Source organism: Homo sapiens, chromosome 1 (genome assembly GCF_000001405.40).
Source record: "Homo sapiens chromosome 1, GRCh38.p14 Primary Assembly".
Taxonomy (NCBI): domain Eukaryota; kingdom Metazoa; phylum Chordata; class Mammalia; order Primates; family Hominidae; genus Homo; species Homo sapiens.
This window is the reverse complement of record NC_000001.11, coordinates 166,968,595-166,990,867: the sequence shown is the minus strand read 5'-3', so window position 1 is coordinate 166,990,867 and position 22,273 is coordinate 166,968,595. Positions and strand designations below refer to the sequence as shown.

General features: G+C 43.7%; 2 protein-coding genes and 1 long non-coding RNA gene across 23 annotated transcripts in view, besides 7 other annotated features; 1 reads left to right on the top strand and 2 right to left on the bottom strand.

Annotated features, from left to right (window-relative positions):
* Window positions 1-15,286, bottom strand: part of MAEL (maelstrom spermatogenic transposon silencer) — a 46,633-nt gene extending 31,347 nt beyond the window's left edge. For 2 of the 6 annotated variants that reach the window (NM_001286378.2, XM_011510068.2), the window contains exons 1-3: window positions 15,202-15,286; window positions 1,384-1,467; window positions 1,039-1,131 (exon numbers count right to left, since the gene is read on the bottom strand). In NM_001286378.2, coding sequence (NP_001273307.1) covers window positions 1,039-1,095 — 57 coding nt within the window. In that variant the 5' untranslated portion in view covers window positions 1,096-1,131; window positions 1,384-1,467; window positions 15,202-15,286. Of the gene's footprint in view, window positions 1-1,038; window positions 1,132-1,383; window positions 1,589-5,519; window positions 5,652-15,201 lie in introns of those variants that run through there. The other 4 variants (NM_032858.3, XM_011510067.2, XM_006711583.2 and 1 more) reach the window with 3 other exon arrangements.
* Window positions 816-2,015: an enhancer, noted in NCBI's record as "BRD4-independent group 4 enhancer chr1:166958090-166959289 (GRCh37/hg19 assembly coordinates)". NCBI's record gives its function as "activates an origin of replication core promoter dependent on BRD2, P300/CBP, MED14 and CDK7 cofactors, and independent of BRD4, by STARR-seq in HCT116 cells {active_cell/tissue: HCT116}" and the evidence as "EXISTENCE:reporter gene assay evidence [ECO:0000049][PMID:35650434]".
* Window positions 1,018-1,593: an enhancer, noted in NCBI's record as "H3K27ac-H3K4me1 hESC enhancer chr1:166958512-166959087 (GRCh37/hg19 assembly coordinates)". NCBI's record gives its function as "activates a minimal SCP1, AML or CMV promoter by ChIP-STARR-seq in primed H9 embryonic stem cells {active_cell/tissue: H9 hESC(primed)}" and the evidence as "EXISTENCE:reporter gene assay evidence [ECO:0000049][PMID:30033119]".
* Window positions 14,909-14,958: a silencer, noted in NCBI's record as "silent region_1518". NCBI's record gives its function as "represses an Ori minimal core promoter by ATAC-STARR-seq in GM12878 lymphoblastoid cells {active_cell/tissue: GM12878}" and the evidence as "EXISTENCE:reporter gene assay evidence [ECO:0000049][PMID:35858748]".
* Window positions 15,079-15,368: a silencer, noted in NCBI's record as "silent region_1517". NCBI's record gives its function as "represses an Ori minimal core promoter by ATAC-STARR-seq in GM12878 lymphoblastoid cells {active_cell/tissue: GM12878}" and the evidence as "EXISTENCE:reporter gene assay evidence [ECO:0000049][PMID:35858748]".
* The window catches only part of ILDR2 (immunoglobulin like domain containing receptor 2), a 79,845-nt gene continuing 72,899 nt past the window's right edge, over window positions 15,328-22,273 (top strand). For 7 of the 15 annotated variants that reach the window (NR_199384.1, NM_001438641.1, NM_001438643.1 and 4 more), the window contains exon 1: window positions 15,328-15,645. Coding sequence is in view for 13 of the 15 variants with exons in the window: in NM_001438641.1 (NP_001425570.1) it covers window positions 15,600-15,645 (46 nt within the window). In the remaining 2 variants the exon portion in view is untranslated. Of the gene's footprint in view, window positions 17,967-22,273 lie in introns of all 15 variants that reach the window. The other 8 variants (XM_017001256.2, XM_017001254.2, XM_017001257.2 and 5 more) reach the window with 4 other exon arrangements.
* Window positions 15,429-15,478: a silencer, noted in NCBI's record as "silent region_1516". NCBI's record gives its function as "represses an Ori minimal core promoter by ATAC-STARR-seq in GM12878 lymphoblastoid cells {active_cell/tissue: GM12878}" and the evidence as "EXISTENCE:reporter gene assay evidence [ECO:0000049][PMID:35858748]".
* Window positions 17,820-22,273, bottom strand: part of LOC124904449 (uncharacterized) — a 45,878-nt gene continuing 41,424 nt past the window's right edge. The window contains exons 3-5 of one of the 2 annotated variants that reach the window (XR_007066715.1): window positions 20,005-20,083; window positions 18,398-18,597; window positions 17,820-17,882 (exon numbers count right to left, since the gene is read on the bottom strand). This is a non-coding gene — a long non-coding RNA (uncharacterized LOC124904449). Of the gene's footprint in view, window positions 17,883-18,120; window positions 18,598-20,004; window positions 20,084-22,273 lie in introns of those variants that run through there. The other variant, XR_007066714.1, reaches the window with a different exon arrangement.
* Window positions 20,062-20,131: an enhancer, noted in NCBI's record as "active region_2030". NCBI's record gives its function as "activates an Ori minimal core promoter by ATAC-STARR-seq in GM12878 lymphoblastoid cells {active_cell/tissue: GM12878}" and the evidence as "EXISTENCE:reporter gene assay evidence [ECO:0000049][PMID:35858748]".
* Window positions 21,588-21,717: an enhancer, noted in NCBI's record as "active region_2029". NCBI's record gives its function as "activates an Ori minimal core promoter by ATAC-STARR-seq in GM12878 lymphoblastoid cells {active_cell/tissue: GM12878}" and the evidence as "EXISTENCE:reporter gene assay evidence [ECO:0000049][PMID:35858748]".

Below are 22,273 nucleotides of genomic sequence, written 5' to 3'. Positions count from 1 at the left end.
CTTGAATTTCAATCCAATGTTGACAGTTTAAGAATGGAATTTTACCATGTAAGAATGGAAAAAACAAAGGGTAGGGTAGCACCAACAATTACCTGGCACTTTCCTGATACAAATCAACAAGAAAACAAATTTTATTTAGTACTTTAACATTCTACTACACAGAAATTTACCCAAATAAACTTCATTCAACTTTTTTTTTTCTTTTTTTTGATACAGAGTTTTGCTCTTTCGCACAGGCTGGAGTGCAGTGGCGCAATCTCGATTCACTACAACCTCTGCCTCCCGGGTTCAAGCGATTCTCCCACCTCAGCCTCCTGAGTAGCTGGGACCACGGGCGTCTGCTATCACACCCAGCTTTTTTTATTTTTTACTTTTAGTAGAGTTGGGGTTTCCCCATGTTGGCCAGGCTGGTCTCAAACTCCTGACCTCAAGTGATCAGCCCACCTCCGCCTCCCGAAGTGCTGGGATTACAGACGTGAGCCACCGTGCCCAGCCTATTCAACTCTTGTAAAACATACACACATACACCAACTAATCCAAGTCTTGTTATTTCAATATTTTAAACACAGCAGCTGGCTTTGTTTCAGGTGTCATTTTTAAAAGAATGGTATATTTTGCTAAAGAAAAAAAGACAGAATGGTCTAAACTAGTTTTAAGCCCCCACTGCCCACCCCCCACCCCCCGCCAAGGCTCATTAATCACAGAAGAGTTGAAAGGGACACCTTGATGTCATCTAGTACAACCCCTAGATGTTACACTCCCATTAGCGATCAAAGTGTATTGTCTACAGGTTTCCTAACAGGAATTCCCCAGGCCTTTCACCATCAAATTACACCAATGTGTGCATGCCCTAGTTGTGGAGGCTGTTGGTTTTTTTTAACAGGCATTCTGACACCAGGGGAAAAGAAGAACGTCGTCTTCGCACTAACCGAACCCCCAAAGCAGTCCACCCTTGACATTCACTCATTCACTCATCCAGCCTTTACTGAATATGCCTATGTGCCAGGCAGATGGCGGCTCTTCTCTCGTTAACTTTACCTGCTTCTCTGAGGGCCCAGGGTCCTTTCCCTGAGCGGCCCTCCATTCTCGAGCCATTTCTGCGTATTTCTCCTTTTCTTCCTCCCTCAGAAGCTTTTGGGGATTGAAGGAGCAAAGAAGAGAAACAGCCGTGAGGATCCCGTGCTCTAGGGCCCGCAGGCAGATGCTGGGGCATTACAGGGAGGTGGTTCTGGTGTCGGTTTGCCCAGGGCCACAAACGGGGGCCTTCCTCTTCCTCTGGCAGGGCCAAGCCGCCTGACCTCCTCGAGGCCTTCTGCCCTCCCGCCTCACCCTCCGGCTTGCCCAACTGCCCTGCCCAGCCCTCTCACTCCGCTCCAGCCTTACCGCCCAGTCTGAGGAGCAGTAAGGGATGGCATCAGCAACGCGAGCCACAGGCAGGCCTCGTCGCCGTAGTTCGGGGATCTTCTCCTGCACGAAGAAATAGTAAGCATTCCGGCTGGCCTTACGGTTCGGCATGGCAGCGCGGTCAAACTTCCTGGCCTCAGACAGAACAAAGCACCGGCGCCCTCGCCGGGCTCCCGCCCTAAGTAACAGAGGTAGGCGCCTGCGCACGCAGCCCGCAACTCTCGGCCAATCAGGAAGCGACGCGCAGTCGCATTGCCCCGCGGGGGAACAAACAGCCTGAGACTGGAAGATTCCGGCTCGTGCCGCCTTGCGGGTGAGGTGGGGGGAGAGCGCCGTCGCAGGTGCCAAGTGCTCTGATTGGCTGGGTGCGTGGCAGGCGGAGGCATTGTCACGTGGGAGGCCTGGAGCAATTTCTGTACATTATTGCGTAATGTGCGACAAAGTAGGTAGAGAAAAAGAGGAGCTGCGGGTGTTTCCGCGTTTTACAGGTACAAAGGGCCAGCCAGCTTTATGCCAAGCACTGTGAAAAGTGTTGAGGAACATGTATGAGGAACATGACAAGGTCTTCCTTGCCCTCAAGTTTACAATCGAATGAGGGGAGAGGATGACAAAAACCAGTGAAGCAACAAAACTCGAATTTTTTAAAAGTACATTCAAAAATAAGTGTTAGAAGGAAACAGAGGAAGAGGTTGAGATTTAAAATATCCTTAAAGTTTTATAGATTTCCTCATAAAACTGTTTCCTTTTTGTCAATTTTATTCCTAATTAACAATATGAGTTTTTATGAAAAATTTCTTTTAAAAAATTATATTTTCTAATTGATTACTACTGATGTCTAGAGAAGGTATTGATTTTAGTGTTGGTCCTGTGTATATAGTCACACTGCTGATCTCTTATACTAGTTTACATCGTGCTAGTTGGTTCTCTCGGTTTTCTAATTACGTTTCCCAGAGAAAATTCCTTTCTCGGGTCAGCTTTCTAAGTGTATGTATATATGGGGTATGTATATGTTTTAAAATCAAGAATGGCAGTTGAAAATTTGCTAAATTTCTGGATCTTTTCAGGTAATCACACGGTTTTATCTTTTAAATTTTTTTTTTTTTTTTTTTTTTTTTAGACAGGGTCTCAGTCTGTCACCCAGGCTGGAGTGCAGTGGCACGATCCCGGCTCACTGCAGCCTAGACCTCCTGGGCTCAAGTAGGACCTCCCATCTCAGCCCCCCGAGTAGTTGGGGCTACAGGTGCACACCACCAGGCCCTGGTGATTTTTCTGTTTTTTGTAGAGACGAGGTCTCCCTATGTTGCCCAGGCTGGTCTCACACTTCTGGGCTCGAGGATCTGCCTGCCTAGGCCTCCCAGAGTGCTGGGATTACAGGCGTAAACCACTGAACCTGGCCTAATTTGTTAACATAAAGAATATTGCTAGTTTTCTAACGATGCAGCCTACCATTCTTAGTATAAACTATTGTTGATCATGAGGCTTTGCTTATTTTTTAAAAAACATAATATAGAATTTTGGCTTCCTTGATTATAGTAATATTGAACTGTATAGATTTTGTGGTATTTTCTTTACCAAATATTGGTATCAGGGTTGTGTTCAGATAGAATAATAGATGGGAATTATCTATTCCTTGACAGGTTGGTAGAGCTTATTAGTAAAACTCTCTGATCTTTTACATCTTTGGAGGGTGCGTCCACCTTTAACTACCATTTCAATATCTTTTGTATGGTTATTAGTCTTCTCAGTTTTCTTAGTTTTATTCACCTAATTTTTGTAATTATATTTTCCTAGAAAAAGTGTCTATCTCATTTAGATTTTTCTAGTGTATTGGTATAAAATATGGCAAGGATCTGAAGCAGCTGGAACTTTCATACATTATTGGTGGGACAACTGGTTGACAGTTTCTTATACTTATCATAGGACCCAGCAATTCCATTCTTCTAGGAAAATGAAAATATATATCCACAAAGCCTTGTAGATGAATTTTGAGAGTAGCACTATTCATAAGAGCTCCAAGCTGGACAACCCAAATGTTCATCAACAGGTGAACTGATAAATTGTGGCACATTCATTTAGTAGACTACTACTCAAGAATGAAAAGGAATGAGCTATTGATATTCGACATGGATGAATTTTGAAATTTTGTTGAGTGAAAGAAGGCATACATAAAAGTATACATAGGATGTGATTCAATGTATACAGAACTTGAGAAAAGGTAAAACTGTAGTTATAAAAATCAGATCAGCATTACCTGGAGCCCGGAGGTGGGGAGGGGAGATTGAGAACTGACACAGGGAACCTTCTGGGTTGTCAGAAATGTTCTCTACCTTAATTGTGGTGTTGGTGGCTATTAGTAGTATATATTTGTCAAAATTCATCAAACTATGGACTTAAAATAGGTGTGTTTCATTTTAAAGTCAATAAAGTTGACTTTAAAAAACATTGGCATAAAAACAAATGTAACAGTTGATTGTAATTTTAAACACACACACACACACACACACACACACACACACACGTCCCCTTCCTTTTCATTCCTAATTATTTATGCCTTCCAGATTTTTTCCTTAATACTTGCCAAATTTTGTTTATTTTATTGATCTTTTAAAAAACACTTTTGATTTTATTGATCCACTTTACAGTTTTTCTTTGCCTTTTCACACTTTTCTGCCTTAAGTTTATTAATTCCTTCTTTCTACTTCAGGCTGTTTTATGTTTCTTTTTTTAGTTTCTTGAATAAAAAGCTTTGTTCAATTTATTTTCTTGCCTGTTTATTATGTTTCTAATTTTTCCCTTCTCTGCGTGAGCTGGATTGATAACTATTTTTTGCTGTACTTTCTCTTCCACTGGTTTTAAAGTTATACATTCTATTTTTCTTCATTCTGCTGTTACCCATAAATTTTAGTGTACTTGTTTTAAAACTTACATTTTTATCACAACTTTTACAGCTAATAGGTATTCACATCCCCTCTTCCCAAACAGACAAGCAGCTTAGAAAATTATTACTTCTTCCCACTCAGACTCTCTCACTCCACGCACCACCGTCCCACTTCTGTCTCCCATGTTGGTATCATCTGGGATTTTAATTTCACATTGCTTTTTTTTATAACAACATTTAGATATGACTGAACTATAATAAACACAATATATCTAAAGTGTATAATTTATTGAATTTAAACTTACGTGTACACCTGTGAAACCATCTGCCATCAAGATAATGAACATATCCATCCCCTAAAGTTTCCTCACTACTCCTTTACACTGCTTGAAGTTGCCCATGGTTTACTGATGCTCTCTTCATTTTTTTCCTTCAGTCTTTTTTCTCTGTTTCATTTTGCATAGTGTCCATTGGTGTCTTTGTGTTTAGTAATACTTTATTCTGTAATGTCTAATCTGCATTAATTCCATCCAGTGTATTTTTCATATCAGATTGTTTATTTTCATCTCTAGAAGTTGATTGGGTCGTTTTAAAAAATCTAAAAATCTTTAAGCATATCTCTACTTAACATAGTCTATCCTTCCTTTACGTTGTTTAACATGGAATACAGTTGCAACATGTAATATAATTATGATAACCATTAATTCTTGTCTACTCATTGTATTATCTGTTTCATTTCTGGGTCTGTTTCTACTGATTGATTTTTCTTCTTATGGATTATGTTGTCCTGCTTCTTTTGTATGCTTGGTAATATTTGATTGGATGCTGGTCATTGTAAATTTTACCCTGTTTAATGCTGCATATTTCTATATTCTTATAAACATTTTTGGGCTTTGTTTTGGGACACAGTTCTGTTACTTGGAAACAGTTTGAGTCTGGTTTTCACTCTTTTTAGGCTTACTTTTCTGCTTTGTTATTTGAGATCAGAGCAATCTTTAAGGCTAATTTTCTCCTCTACTGATATAACATCTTTCTGAGTACTGTACTTGATATTCCATAAAATTTGGAGCCAAATTCCACTTTGGCTGATGGGAATATAAACTATTTCTAGTCCTATGTGAATTCCAAGGATGGTTACTTGTAATCCTTTCAGGTTGTTCTTTCTTTGGCTCTGTGTAGTTTTTTCCCACACATGCACTGATCAGTATTCAGCTCAGGCTTCAAGGGAGATCCTTACCATATCTCCAGAGCCTTTTTTTTGGTGATTGTGCTGTTCCCTTGTTTCTGGTACTCTGCCCTGCAAACTCTATCCACTGTGGCGCACCTTGACACCCACCTCCATCTCCTCAACTCAAGGAGACTCCACTGGGCTCTGCCTAGGTAACCCATTGTGATACTGCATTCCGGTACTCTCTCCAGGCAGCTACCTGTGGCAATCACAGAGCTCACCTTGTTTGCTGTGGTTCTTTCAGGGGTTACTCATCTCTACTCCCCAGTGTCTAGTGTTTGGAAACATTGTTTCATATATTTTGACCAGTTTTTTTATTAGGTTGGTGCAAAAGTAATTGCAGTTTTGTTTCAAGCTACTGGATACATTCATTTCCTGTTACTCCACCTTGGGCAAGATGGCTTTTTCATAGTTTAACATTTTTAAAACCATATCTAGATTTAACTACCAAATATTTAGATGGGTGAACAGGGCAAACCTCTATGAGGAGCAGGTGGCTTTTATAATGGGAAAGGATGGACGGAATAGAGCTAGTCATGTGAAGAATTGAAAGAAGAGAGTTCTAGACAGAGGGAACAGTATGTGTAAAAGCCTCAGGTGATAAAGAATTGGGTGTCTCTTCAGAACAGATGGAAGACTAGTTAGTGTTGCTGTACTGTATCTAGTCAGGTGAAGAATGGTGCCTGCTGAGGTTGGAGTGATCAACAGGGATTTCGGCTTGACCATGACCATTGTAAGGGGTTCGAGTATTGCTCTAAGTACAATTGTTGTTCATTTAGGGGGGTTATTTTATATTTATTTATTTATTTTTAATTGACAGATACAAATAGTATATATTTATTGTGTACAACATATTTCAAAATATGTATATGTTGTGGAATGGCTAAATCGAATGACTTAACATATGCAGTACTTCACATACTTATACTTTTTTGTGGTGAGAACACTTGAGATCTACTCTATTTAAGGGTTTTTAAAAAACATGTCATGTTTTCTATTTGGAGAAAGGGTTCAAAGCATTAAGAATGGGCATGGTGAGACCAGTTAGAAGGCTCCTTCAGGAGTCCATGTGGGTGATGATGGCAACCTCGAACAGAAAGGAAAGGCTGGGCTCAAATTGTATTTTGGGAAAAATAGAACTAGCTAATGGATTGGTTGTAGGAGTAAGAAAAAAGGAGGAGTCCTAGGATTTTGGCTTGAGTAACCCATGGGCACTTAGTGCTTTTACTAAGATAGGGAGGACTTTGGGGCAGAGGGAGACAGTGCTAATGCCAAGGAGGGTCCAAGGTCCAAAGCTCCCAATAATTTCTGTTATCTGCTCCTCTCCTCATAGGTCCATTTTTTTTTTTTTTTTTTGAGACAGGATCTCATTCTGTCAACCAGGTTCGAGTGCAGTGGTGCAATCACAGGTAACTGCAGCCTCAGTCCCATGGGCTCAAGTGATCCTCCCACCTCAGCCTCCCGAGTAGCTGGGACTACAGGTGTGCGCCACCATGCCCAGCTAATTTTTGTATTTTTTGTAGAGACGGGGTTTTGCCATGTTGCCCAGACTGGTCTCATACTTCTGGGCTCAAGTGATCTGCCTGTCTCAGCCTCTCAAAGTGCTGGGATTACAGGTGTGAGCCACTGCTCCTCTCCTTCTTTGATAAAATTGATTTTTTTTCTATTTTACTTAAGTCCTACATAAACAGAACAGCTTTCCCCATTTTCCAACCAGATTGATTTTTTTCTATTCAGAAATTCTAAAGGGTGGCAGGTTTGGGTTGAAATATGTGGAGGGGGTGGATCAAGAGTTCTATTATGGACATGTTCATTTTGAGATGCCTACTATATATTCAAGTGGAGATGTCAAGTAGGCAATTGACCATGTAAGTCTGGAGTTCTGGGCTTGAGAAAGAATCCAGAAGTAAGCCACATAAAGATGGTATTTAAATTCATGAACTAGATGAGATCATCTAAGGAGAGAGTGAAGAGAGAGAAAAAAAGGATCCAGGATGGAGTCCTGAGGAACACTAGCGTTTAGAAGCCAGAGAAGGAAGACCCAGTAAAGATGACTGAGAAGAACATGTGAAAAAGTAGGAAGAAAGGCAGGAAAACCAAGAGAGGGGAGTGATTCCAGTAGCAAGTGGTTCATTTATTCAATAGATATTTATTAAGAGCTCACTGAATACCAGCCTCTATTTTAAGCACAATAGGTTGAATAGAAAAAAGCTTATAGTGGAAAAAAACCCAGGTAATAAATAAATAAACTATTATGTATATAACAAGATGTCAGAATATCTTTTTGGACAATAAGTCCAATGAAGAAAAATAATGTAAGATAAGGGAATAGCAACAGTTAGAGGGTACAATTTTAGGGTGGTTATTAAAGGCCCTATATGAAGAAATGAAATTTGAGCAACGACTAGAAGGAAGAGAGCAAGCAAACCATGAAGATATCTGGAGAAGAGCATTCCAGGCAGAAAGAATAGCAAGTGCAAAAGCTCTGAGGTGGGAGCATATCAGGTATGTTTGAGGAAAAGCAAAGTAAGTCACATGGCTGGAGTAAAGTGAGTGAGGGGGAAAGTAGAGAGAATATTAGAGAGGGAGGTAGGGCCAGATCATACAGGATTTACAGGGCCTCCATAAGGACTTTAGATTTTTGTCTAAATTGGGGGAAACCACTGGAGATTTGGATGACTATTACTTTTTTTTTTAATTAAGTATAAGGTGTGATTTTCAACCAGGTACGTGTTATGCAAACCACTGAAGAGCACCACAAGTGTTCTTGGAAAATGTGGCTGAGTTTTTTCCTGATGGTAGTTTAAGTGAAGGCCAACATTATTCAGCGTGCATCTTCCCTCCTGTGCTAATAATAATAATAGTAGTAATAATAGGTGACATTCATTGCAAGCTACATCCAGCTTTCTGCTAAACACTCCACAAGGGTTATCTTATCTCCCCTTCACAACAACCCTATGAAATAGATTCCATGATTATCCACATATTGCAGAAAAGGAAATTGAGGCTTAGAGTGGTGAAGTGACTTCCACATGCCACACAGCCTTTGAGTGACTTTGACATCTATGAGATCCCAAGTTAACACTCATTCCAATCTGTTTATCTTAGATGTTCAAGGTTATTACCTGATGCTTTGCCAAAGTTAAGTGATAAATTTCTGAGTACCATCTAGACATTGTTTGAATGTGCTCTCAGATCTTTAGTAACTCAACCTGATGTCTGGTTGATTCCTCCTGCTTGCAATATACATGTGAATTCTACCTCTTGTGACTCCTTGCAATGTCTTTCTCAATTGATGTTAGCATTCTCTTCGTGCTGCCCCTTGTTAGGTGCTTGTTACTTCTTGAGCTCTTGTAATGAGCTCTCCCATGGAAGAGACCTCAATCTGTTGTCTCTGTCTCCATCAATTCATCCTACACCCTGTGGCCAGAATAACTTGGTTGGGACACAGGTCTGATCTTGTTCTACTTAGAAATTCTCATGGATGGTACATTGCCGGTGGAATTACATCCAAATCTGCTATCCTGGTTTCCCTTGGTTCAACCTCAGCCTACCTTTCCAGCCTTATTGCTGACTCTGCCTTTTGTAAACCTATGCTCTGGGCAGCAGTTCCTATTCTCACCTCTGCCTATTGCTTGTGCATCTGTACTACCTCCTGCTCCCTTTCTGCCCCTAGAAATTCTGTCCAGATGATGTTAAAGCTTAGCTCAGGGGTCACCTTTTCATGAAGATATCTCTGACCAGGACTACTGATAACTAATTGACCCTCCCCCACTTAATTTTCCTACCATATTTGGTACATGTCCTAATACAGGCCCTGTCACACCATCATAAAGACCACATATTTGCCTCCCTCCCTCCCTCTCTACACACATGGAGACAACTCAAATGTAAGCTATTTGACATAAGGGGCTGTGATTCATTCATCTTTGAATTCATATTCGTTTTTAATTTCTAGATAGCATAGTGTCTAGAATATAGTAAGTATTCAATAAATGTGTGGAATAAATGAATGAATTCAGGGAAAAGAAAAGGAGAGATGACGAAAAGGTAAGATGAATACACTGGGGGCAGTTTGTAATTAATTAGACAAGTACACATTGATCATCTCTATGTAAAAGGCACCTACTCAGAATTGGGGAAGGAGTACAGAATTAACACTTCTATGAGAGATCCTCGCCCCGCTACTTCAACACAAAGGTCAGGGCTGCTGTTTTCTAACCCTGGTCTTTAAAGCCCACATGCCACTTCTCTTGCTTGAGCAGTTTCTTTTCATGGTGCTCCATGTTCTGGCCTTCTCATTCTAGCTCTCTTCCCTGCCCATTTGCTGGGGGTGAGGTCATCAGATGACATATTTGTTCTGGCTCATTTCCCTCTCTCAGGTTCTGTCTTTGACCTATGCCAGGAAGAAGGCCTTTAGGAGAATGTGTAGGGCTGAGCTCTGAGAAACAATCTTCTGGCTAAATCACCAAGACCCAGAGCCCAAGGCAGCTTCATCGTGTAAACTGTAGGGCAGCCAGTTACCCTTTCTTCCTATAGCCTTTTGGCTGTAGGAAGCTGCTTGACCACTAGTATAAGAATTGCTCTGCTGCTCATCTGGGGGGCTGTCAATGCTCTTCTGGTCTCCAAAGGATGCTAACCATGAAATAAAAACAGAAACAAAAGCAAAAACTGGAGACAGGGCTCCTAAAAGAGCAGTAACCTTCATCTCTGGCTCTGTAACTTTCAGAGAAATTATAGGTTGCACTGTCAGTAAAAGCTCCCAGGGCTCAACTGCTCATAATTAACTTGATTAACTGCTCACGAATGAGACATAATGAGAGCAGGTGTACATGTGGGGGCTTTGTATCTGGCTGAAGATACAGGCCTGACAAAACACCTGTCACTCCTTCTCCTTGCTTCTCTCCTTTCTGCAGGGATGTCCTAGAGACTGGAGGACAAATTCACAATGAGTAAATTTTGGCATGGGCACAGCTTTTGTCCAGCACCTTTTCCTATATTATAGAAATATTAGAGGGTATAGAAAATTATAGGCTGGGCACAGTGGCTCAAACTTGTAATCCCAGCACTTTGGGAGGCTGAGGTTGGAGGATTGCTTGAGGCCAGGAGTTTGAGACCAGACTGGGCAACATAGCAAGATGCAGTCTCTAAAAAAAAAAATACAAATTAAAAATTAGCTGGGCATGGTGGCATGCACTTGCAGTCCCAGCTACTTGGGAAGCTGAGGCAGGAGGATAGCATTGAGCCTAGGAGTTCAAGGTTGCAGTGAGCTACGATGGCACCATTGCAGTCCAGTCTGGGTGACAGAGTCAGACCCTGTCTCTAAAAGAAAGAAAGAAAGACAATTATAAAGAAAAAATATAAATGAATGATGATCTTCCCAGAGATAACCATTGTTACTCATTTATTTCCTTTGTCCCTTTTAAATGTATTTTTTCATATTTGATACCAAGCTCTAAATATACTTTTATGTTCTTTTTTTCTGCACATTATCCTTGGATGGACCTTTTTAGGGAATGCTTTGGTAGAGAGCTAATTCAGGCAAGGGCTGCCCCCACTGTTGAGCAGGATCTAGCTTTAGGATGGGGCACACAAAGCATCACCTAATTCAGCACCCAGCACCACTGCAGTTGGATTTGAAGCCTGAGACTGCAGGTTCTTGGATTAAATCTGCTGGAAGTACATGGAATTTTCAACACATTCTCCCAGGCTTTTACCTTTTTAAATTTCTAGATAGTGTGGTGTCTAGTGTCCACTGTTCTTGCCAGTTCAGATTTTGTTTTGTTTTGTTTTGGCATAATGCATTTGTATACTTGCATTTCCTTTCTTTAAAGCATTTTCTTAATCAAACAATTTATTCAACATGAAAAGACTTCAAGATTGAAAATGTTTTTGGTTTTCAGTATACGGTGCCTAGAGTCTCCAGTTTTTTTAGTTCCTTGGTTTTCTGGGTTCCAGTTTTTTTAGTTCCTTGGTTTAATTTAGTTTTTTTTTTAACTTATAATTCATTGAGGATGGTTTTGAAGGTATGGAGGATGGGAAAGATAACAAACCCAAAAGGTAGCAAGAGAAAAAAAAAGATGGACCAAACTTACATGAGAAAAATGGTATCTGTTTCAGAGTCATACTTCGTATATTCCTCTTGGAATGCAGGATCAGAGAGGAGAAGTAGAAATATGATTTTATCTGTGTGCTTTAAACAGACTCACGTTAAGCAGTATTCATGTGCATGCATGCCTGTGTGTCTGCAATGAAATCATGTTTTAAAGAGGATTCAGCTACATTATATTTATAACTATGTGGTTGCTACCAGCTACCAGTATGTCTCCTTGTGGTGGTTCACTTCTCTTTTCTCTGTGTCCTAATTCTGTTCTCTAGTGTAGAGCTTTGCTGAAGCAGCCTGTTAGTCCCCCCACCACATACAATCCCAGCTGTGGCTTCCTGGGAATCTTGTTCTGGTCCCATACAGGTCATTGTTGTGACATGTTTGTCTCATTGCAGTAGAAAGTTTGAAGTATTGCAGAGCCAGACCCCTTCCTTGGCTGTGATGAATCAATCTCTCTATTTGGGGTCCTGTCCTATTAGGTCAGAATGAATGAACAACTGGAGCTTAACCAGATACAAGGCTCATTAGAAAACATCAGCTCAACAGCTTCTCAGGAGAACAAAAAGATAGGTATTGCTTCTTAAACATTACTGTGCATTGGAAGCACCTGGGGAAAGTGGTTAAACTGCAGATTTATGGGCTCCACCTGGAGTTTCTGAGCTCATTATTCTTAGTAGAGCCTGTGAATCTGTGTTTAAGCAAACACAGTAATATGATCCTGATACTGGAAGTTCAGAAACCACATTGGGACTCTGGGTGCCATATCCCATCACCCACCACCAATATGGCAAAATAACACCATTTTCCCATCCTCTTTCCACCTCCATCCCTTAGGCTACATGTTTTGAATCATTACATATATTTCAAAATTTATATTAACCCTTCATCACCTTGGTAACAACATGTGCAAGGTGATGGAGGGGCACACATTGTGATTCACTCCAGTTTAGCATCCCCTTCAGGATGGCCTGGGCGCCACTCACTCAGGAAGATTCAGGATACACCATGTGTACCTCTCTGGCTATAAAGTAGACATGCAGGGCACTACATGGAAAACACATTTCTGGGATGATGGACAAGGCAACTGCATTCTATGATTCATTGTGGCACAAGCTCTTCTCCAAGTCTCCTGATTCAACTACACAGACACCTCCTCTGAGCAGACATGAGTTCATTTCTGTGGGCATTCACGTTCCACTTCATATACACATCCAGGCTTCCTTCACTCAGTCCATCTCCCATTTTTCACATGTATAAACTTGCTCATATGTCCAAGTTTTGCATAAAATGCCATTTTTTTTGAGACAGGGTCTCACTCTGTCACCCAGGCTGGAGTCCAGTAGCGTGGTCACAGCTCACTGCAGCCTCAACCTCCCAGGTTCAAGTGGTCCTCCCATCTTAGCCTCCAGAGTAGCTGGGACTACAGGTATGTACAACCACGCCTGGCAATTTTTGTATTTTTTGTAGAGATGGGGTTTCACCATGTTACTCAGGCTGGTCAAATTCCTGAGCTCAAGCAATCCGCCCACCTCAGCTTCCCGAAGTGCTGAGATTACAGGTGTGAGCCACTGCACCTGGCCAAAATGCCACTGTTATGTGTGCTTAGATAATAAACACTATTCAAGCTCTTTTGTGCACTGTGACACACACACATAGATGCAGTAAATGGCACAGCATAATACAAATATATCATCTCAATCTTCTGGTGTAGATGTTCTTTTTGTGGTGCAAACAGTATATGCTTTAGAGTCAGATTCAAATCCTAGCTCTGCCACTTACTAGTTGCCTGATCTTAGAGAAGTTAGTTAAATGCTCTGGGCCTAAGTTCCCTCTTTAGGGTTAAATGAGAAGGTTTGTTAAACATGTAGAACTCTGCCTAGAACCTAAAGGAAACCCACAAGTGTTAGGTACCTCCTATATTTTTATTTTTCTGTATATGAAAGGAAATAGTCCTCAAATTTCTCTCATGCAGTACATAGCATGAAAAAATCATCCTGGCCAAAATAAGCAAAGAAAGAGTTTATGAAAGGATATTGGGTGGCTCAAAGAATTGCTGGGGAAGTGAAGAGCCAAGTGTAGAAGAGAGGCTAGAACCCAGAGAGCCTGCAAGACCACAGCCAAAAATCACACCTTGGAGCATCCTGGTGGCTTGACCTCTGCCACAGCTGATCATGTACACTGGATGCTGCTGCTGCCTCAGTGACAAAATCAATTCTCCACTGTCCTTGTTTCTTATATCCACCACTTGCTCCAGAATCAAAAAGCTCTGAGGGAGAGGTCAGCCTGGCTATGCCAGGGGCCCGGGCCTGCATTCCAGCTGGGATGGTCAGGGAGGTGGCTCTAGACTTTCTGGCTTCTGCAGTTGGAATTTCTCAGAATAAGAAGGGAATTGAGATGTCAGGCAGCCATAAAAGACAGCTGCCCAGGGTCTATTCTTCCCATTTCTCACATGTTCACATACATATTCTCCCTGTCTGTGTACACATTCACTCTTAGGTGTGGAGTCTGTCTGCTCCAGGAACTCCCCTCCAGCCTGGCACCACTCTGTTTTCAGATGCTACTTGAGACCTTTCTGCTATGTCTCTTTCCTCTGCCCAGAATGCCCTCGCCTGCCCCCTTTCCACCAGGGATCCTTGAATGGCTCAAATCTTGTGCTTTCTGCAAATGCCAGCTCAGATGTTACCCCTCCTTTATCGTGGTGCCCCCTCCCCACCCACGACTAACTTAGTCCTTCCTCTATGTTCCCAAGGCACTTTCTCTATGTCTCCATTATTGCACTTGCCCCGTTTTACTAGGAATAAGTATCATGTCTTTAATGGTCTGACCTTCCTCCCTTTCCTCGACCCAAGATGAGGCTCCTAAGGGCAGGAAGTCTATCTCATTCCACTTTGTAACCTTAGTTCTTAGCACCTAGTAGAGGCTTCATAAATATATTTCTTAAGCAAATCATACATTTCTCAGTTCTCTCTCAACACATACATTTTGAGACACAAGACAAATCCGTCTGACAAATAGGAATAATCCATGTGAATGCGTGCTGGAATCTATAAAGTGTTGGATGGATTTAAGCCGTTATAATCATTTATCTCATTCTGGTTTTACATATTTTCTGTTAAAGGGCCGGATGCCCTTATTCTACCTCATATTTTAACAGGAAAAAGTAATGACGCGAGATTCCCGCCTACCTTTTTCAATTCTGCGGAGCCTCTTGCCTGGTTCCTTGCACTGTCAAAAAGGAAACCAGACGGAGGGGCGGGGGTACCGCAGAAGCGAACATTCTAGCCTAGAGGACTTGCTAGTTAAGTCCTGTAAGAAGTTACGCCAAGTCCCCGCCGTCCCCCACCCTCGCCGCTGTCACTCTCTCCCCGTTCAGGTTGGCTGTGGCTGCCCGCAGACACAGGCTCCCCTGCTCGAGTCCCCAGCCAGCGTTCTCGCCCGGGTTCCCGAGCGCGGGCGTCCCTGGGAGAAGCCGCGATGGTCGCTCCCCGCTCGGCGCGGCCCGCGGGGCGGCCTCCCCCGCGCCTCTCGCTGCCTGCCACCCAGAGACCCCCTCTCTCCGCGTGGCCTCAATCACTCCACGCTGACCTTTGGGCCGCCGGGGGCCAGCACGTGACCGAGAAACTTTGGCAGTCGCGGCAGCGGGCGGCGGGGCGGAGGCGCGGGAGGCGGTGCGGCGGCCGAGCTCCCCCGCGCGGCGGGCTCTGCGGCGGGGAGACGCTCGCCCCGTGCCGCGCTGCCTGGGCATGCGGATGCGCCGCCGAGCGCTGCGCGGACCCCGGAAGCCCGCGGCAGCGCGCGCTCAGCCGGCGGCGCGATCCAGCCCCCGGCCCCGCCTGCGCGGCCGGCCCGGCGGGCGCTGCGCCCAGGGACGCCCGGTGCCCGCCGCTCCGCCGCCGCCCGCTGCCGCGGGGTGACAGCGATCCTTCTGTTCCAGCCATTTCCCACTTTCCTCACTCCGTAATTCGGCTGGGAAGTTGGGGAAGATGGATAGGGTCTTGCTGAGGTGGATTTCTCTCTTCTGGCTAACAGGTAAGAGTCCTTTTCAACAGAAACGAATAACTTTGTATATTCCTGTAGTGGTTCTGTTCTCACCGCGCCCCCCGCCCCCCCATTTTCCTCCTTACTGACCATGTTTAAAGCTGCTTAGCGGTCTGGTGGAAAGTGGGGGAGGGGGCAACGTGTGTGTTTGTGTATGTGTTTGTGTGTGTGTGTGTGAGAGAGAGAGAGAGAGAATGATGGGGGCGGCGGGGGAGAAGCCCAATGACAAGTGAGACGCATCTAGATGCAGGTGTTTGACTCATTGGCGCTGAGGTTGTTCTTTCGAATGCATTTCCCCTCCATAAAACGGTTCTCCTTCGGTCTTATCCTGAGTTTGTAATGCTGTGAGTCTTGTGAAAAGCCTGGCTGGAATAAAGGAAGCTCAGAGGGAGCTGATTAATTAAATGAACTGGTTTTCTGGAGGTGGAGGCTAGAGGACTGTCTCCTTAATTTCTTCCCTAGAGAAGGAGGGGGACCCAGGGCATTCTCTCTGTGGCTCTCTGGAGGGTGCAAGGAACTGGAGGTTGGGAAGAAGATGGGGATGGAACCTTCACTGGTTGTGGAGTTTAGAGCCTGGCTCTCTCTTACTTGGTATCATTTGGGGAGTGGTCCCAAATGATAATTAGAAAGCAGAAGAGCCTTTCTAATAGGTGCACTCTCCGCTCCCTAAAAGATAATTTGCAGAGAGATTTAGAGGCATTGGGCTTCTCCCCAGCATCAAAGTCACTGGTCTAGCTGGGTCCTCTGTGCCCTCCCCTCCTTTTTGGTGAACTTTCTCCCCATTCTGCTGGGGTCAGTAGATGCTCTTGTTCTTAACCTATTTCCCCACATGAGGATTCCGATTCCCATAGGGATACAGGGCCTTGGGGTGGCCAGCCCTGAGAGATTCACAAAGCAGCCCTGCTGAAGGGAGTAGGATGGGGGTGAGGAATGTCTGGATAGCTTGGACTGGGTCAGAGGCAACCATTCAAATCAAGGTGGAGGCAGAATGATGGAAGAAATGGAAAAAGGGATCAGAAAGGTGAGGACAGGATGGGGGTGGAAGGCAGGAGAGAAAAGGGACAATAGTACCACATGAGAAGTTTTGTCACCTCTAGCATCACCAGCCAGAAGATCTGGACAAAATCAAGGCACTAGGCAAAGGGGAACAAGCTTAAAATAGCTAAAACAAGTCATGTAAAGGGGGTAAAATACATTTAGCAAGAAAAGGCAAATACCCCATTTCCCTTAGCTTCAGAATAAGATTCTTCATTGCCTAAATATTTTTCCCATTTCAAATGAAATGCCCCTAACATTGCCGTTGCCCCACTGCTGGGTTTAGGCTGGGGGAGGCATCCTCAGCAGAGTTAGCCTCTTCTTTTGGCTGCTTTGAGTTCATCCCTCCCACATTATTCAGATATGAATCATCTCTAATTTCAGGGTTTGGCTGATCCATGCCACCCCGCTCCCCTGGCCTCCCAGTGCCTTCCACTCCCACCCTCACTGATTCTTCACATCCTTAATCTGCCTCTACTCTCGGTTATCAATATTCTCAGGGCACTTAGTCCTTGAGCCTGTATCACAACAGCACTGAAGTCAGCCAGGCATCGGGGGGGGGGGGGAGGGGTCCCTGAGTCAGAGGTGCTCTTTACAGACACGCTGGGGTCTGCCTAAAAGAAGTACTCTGGGGGTTTGCAGGGAGTGAGAGAAGAAGGGAAACATAGAGCTCTCTTTAGATGGCTCACAGCTTTTTATGAAATGGAATCATATCACTGGAGGGTACTACAGGAACTGTAGTTCAGCCCTCTCAGTTTATAGAGATGGAGTCCTAGAGAGGCAATATGCACATAGCACGTTCATGATTGATTAGGGACTAGATTCCAGTTCTCTCAAACTCCAGACCAGTCTCATTTGCCCTCTCCTAAGCTGCCTCTCTGGGCTTTTTGCTGGAGGGCTTTTTGTTTTATTTTTGTTTTGAGGGAGGTGATGGCTTTGTCTGTGCCTTCTGCCACCTGCACCTGGAGAGGCTGTTCTGCTTGGAATCAGGCAACAGGTTAGTTATCAGGACCAGCTCAGCTGTCAGATGGCTGGGGATTCTTTGCTCCAAAAGTGAGACTGACTCCTGGGATCCCATTGATCATCCTCTGCTCCCTGCTCCTGCTTTCTCCTCATCCCATCACTGCTGTCAGAGGTGTGGACAGACAAGCTGCCTCTCAGCCTCAGCAAAGTAGAGGAGCAAACAATGGCGGCTGGGGAGGGGAGGGAGGAGACAGAAGCAGACAAGGAGGAGATGAATTCAGACTCATTCTTCACAGAGAACCATGAGACGAAAGGTGAGAAATTTTAGTCCAGCCCAATCAATGAATTCTCTTTTGAGGGGGTGGTAGAAAGGAAGGGAGACAGGGAAGAACAGATTAAAAATGAGACAGAGAGCCAGGAAAAAAACCACATTCATTCTTCCTCTCCCTCCCTTTCTCTCCCCACCATCTCTCTCCCACTCCCTCTCTATTTCTCCTCCTCTCCCTTCTCCTCCTGTTTCTCTTTTTTAATGCAAGCTGAGCGATTTCTAATCAGCACTTCAGTTTTTTCCTCCAGGCTCTAGCAGCTTCTTCCTTGTCTTTCATTACTAAAATTCTGTATGTCTTCCTGTTATATATTTAGCCTTGTGATTCCTTATTGCCATTGTGATGTTGCTTCCTGTAATATATTGGTTTTGTTATTGTTGCTGTTGTTGTTGTTATTTTGAACAAAACAAAATGCTTACCAGCTGCTATTTTAGCAACAGGTGCCATCTAGCAATAAGACTTGAAGGAGGGTTCACTCTGTCTTTGTTCCTGAATATGGGTGGTGTTTTATCCTTTCCTGGCAGCAGAGGCTGTGAGAAACGCTGGAGCTGTGTCGACACTCTGGGAACACACTCCTGGAGCAAGCGATGTGTTTTCCTGGAGGCTTCTTTGGGTATCTCTATGACAAAGATTGCTTGATGAATTAGCATTTCTTTTTCTTTTCTTTTTTTTTTTTGAGAGACAGAGTCTCACTCTGTCACCCAGGCCAGAGTGCATTGGCACCATCTCGGCTCACTGCAACCTCTGCCTCCTGGGTTCAAGCAATTCTTGTGCCTCAGCCTCCCAAGTAGCTGGGATTATAGGCACGCGCCACCACACCTGGCTAATTTTTGTATTTTTAGTAGAGTTGGGGTTTCACCATGTTGGCTACGTGGGTCTCAAACTCCCAACCCCAGGTGATATGCCCTCCTTGGCCTTCCAAAGTGCTGGGATTACAGATGTGAGCCACCATGCCCGGCCCTTTATTAGCATTTCTTTTGATTTCACTTGTTTGTCTATTCTACAAGCACATATTAAATTCCTGTGATTTCTAAGTATTATACTAAGTGCTGAGAATGAGGCACTAAAAGACATAGTCCTTGCCCTCAAAGCGTTGTCAGTCTAGTCAGTGATTCAAATAAGTTTTCAGCTATGCACAGTTGTTCATGCCTGTAATCCCAGCACTTTGGGAAGCTGAGGCAGGTGGATCTCTTTGAGCCCAGGAGTTTGAGACCAACCTGGACAACACAGTGAAACCTCATCTCTACAAAAAATACAAAAAAATTAGCCGGGCACGATGGCTTGCACCTGTAGTCCCAGCTACCCAAGGGCCTGAGTGGGAGGATTGCTTGAGTCAGGGAAGTAGAGGCTGCAGTGAGCTGAGATTGTGCCACTGTACTCCAGCCTGGGTGACAGAGTGAGACCTTGTCTCAAAACAAAAACCAAAAACCAAGTTTTCCAGTCACTTTGTCATGGTAGTTAAAGGTCCTTTGATGAGAGCCACACCCCTGCTGTGAGAGCATAGAGGAAGCACACTCAACCCAAACCAGGACTGGTGCAGCAGCTCTGAAACAAATTCCCAGAAAACGTGATAGCTGAGTTAAGATATTTGTTCATGAATAGTCAGTGAGTGACTTACTCCTATGTCCCAGAAGTTATGCTGGGGTTGAAAAGATGAATAAGTCATAGTCCTTGCTTTTAAGGTACTCAGTCTGGTGGTGGAGACACCAGTTATGGAGTAGCATTGTGCAAAAGCAGTGATAAAGATCTGTACTCTGGAGTGCCTTGAAGGGGCCCCCAACCCAGCCTGCAGTGGGAAGGGAGGTATAGGGAATGATCATTAGTTGGTCTGGTTTCATGTTCAGGTAGACACCTGGTGACTGAAGGATAGGCTTGGGTGTAAAGAGTTAAAATGTTATTAGCCCTGGAGAAAGAAGAATCGCTTTTAGAGACTGCTGACACCTCAACTTCCGTTATCTCTTTTCCTGTCCTGTATATCTTCCAATTTCTCTTCCTCCTCTGTTCTACTTTTCTCTGTGGAACGTACCTCGTCCATCTTCTTTCGTCACTTTAGCACAGCTCTCCCAGCTCGGCATTGTCCCCCAGCCTGGATGCTTCTCTCTGGACTAGGAGAGGGAAGTTATTTGAATATCCTCATCACTGTTTACACTTTAGACATAGGAGTATTCTGGGTGGCTAGTTTATATAGAATTGAGTATCAGTATGAGTAGTCTTGCACTACTCGCACTACGGTGCAAGTACCTAGTGCTTAGTTCAGTGTTAGTATTAGTACCAGGACACCGTAAGTAGAAAGAGCCCTGACCTGGGAGCTGAGGATTAGGTTCTAGTCCCACCTCCTCCATAAATCACTGTATAACCATGGGTTTGGATCTTGGTCTTAAATATTGAGCAAGGTGATTTTTAAAGTTAACTTCAGCTCTAAGATTCTAGGGTTCTGAAATTTTCCCCATTAAAATTTGATGAGTTGTAAATGAAAGCTAAAGAGTGACAGGTACATGATTCCTTTTATGATTTACCCAGGAAGAGCCATCAAGGGAGACCCAGTTATTTATTTTTTTTCAGACTTTCTCAAACCATTAATGATTGGAATGAAAAACAGGTAGAAAGGAAGAGCTCTTCCTCAAATTTTCAGAAGAACAAATGGAGCTGTTGCTGGACAGGACAGGTTCTACTCTGAACAATTAAATGTGGTCATATTGGGAACTGGTAAAGTGAGGCAAGTACTTTGGACGAGATGGGATGAATCTTACTCCAGCCAATCTGGTCCTAGAATGTCCCTTCTAGTCCCAAATTTTTGTTCTGGGACTTACCTGTTCACCCCTTCCAACTATTTTTACTCTTATGCCTTCTTTCTCCCGATGTTTTTCTCACTTATTTACATGCTATGATGCTTTTCTATGTGTTAAATGGCTTTCATAGACATTATCCCATTTGATCTTGCCAAGTAAGTAAGGCTGGTATTGCCTACCTACACTTAAGAAGACCAAGGCTCAGAGGAAATAAATGACTTGTCCAAGCCCATGATATCTTACTGGTTAAAAGAATAAGAAATAATGTCACTGCCTTAATATGACTTGGTTATTTGAAGTGCCTGAATTCAGGGAAACATTCTTTTCTGGTTAAGGTAGATCAAACTGTAACTCCTGATTTAGGTGAACATACATGGTGTCTATTATGGGGCATTGGATATTGAGGCACAGAGTTCATAGAACTCAGGGAAATAGTGCAAGAAAAGTGAGAAAGAATGGCAGTTAGTTTTTCGTAATGAAATCCTAAGATCTAGTGGGAAAGGAGCGAATGAAGAGGACTCCAGCAAAGCACGTGAGAACAGAGGATGTGCCCCAGTGACAGAGCAGAAACTGATGGCACATCAGAGCCCATCTGGGACTAGGGGCTGCTGCTGTGCTCTCAGGAGCCACACAGGATGTAGCTACAGCATATGCATGCTTAAAGTCTCAGTCTTCAAGATAGTTTTTGGCTTTCTGAAAATGAAAGAAAGTGTTTTGGATGACTAGAGTTCTTTACAGGCCAAGGAACAAGGAAGAACTCAGAAGAACATGCCGCTTCCTCTATTCTCCTTCAGCATGTGGAACCCTACAGAAAGTGGTGCTGAATAAGGAGTAGGGCCCTTGCATTCAGCTGAGACCCTGTATCATCACTCCTTCCATGCCCTTGCCTCACCAGGAGGCAGCGTGTAGGGGGGATGGTGAGGCTCAAACTGACCTGGATTTGATGCCAGCTTAGGATTTTGTCTTTTTTTGTTGTTGTTGTTGCTTTAATAATGGAAAGCTAACCTACCTTATAGGGTTGTTGTGATAATTAAAATTAAATTATATAAAACTTCTAGCACAATGTTTGGCACACAGTAGGCCCTCAATACTGATTATGAACCCAAACTAGATGTATTTGTCAGTATTTTGATGCAGAAACAAGCAGCGCCCAAATCTCAATAGCTTACAACATACACTTAGTTCTTGCTCATATTATATGAGACCTGTAGTCAGCTGTGGGTAGCTATGGATTGGCTAGGTTTGATGGGGTTGGCTCAATTCCAATTCTCTTCTTACTCTAAGACCCAGGATGAAGGAGCAGCCACTATCTGAGCATTTTGTTCTCACAGTGGAGGGCAAATGCTCAAGGGGGTCAGGGCAAGGGCAGAGCCAAACCACACAAATGCCTTTAAAGCTTCTGCTTGGCCATATCTATGGCACATCTGCTCACAACCCATTGACCAAAGCAAGTCATGTGGCCAAGCTTAAGTCTACGGGGTAAGTATACTCTGCCTACAGGGACCA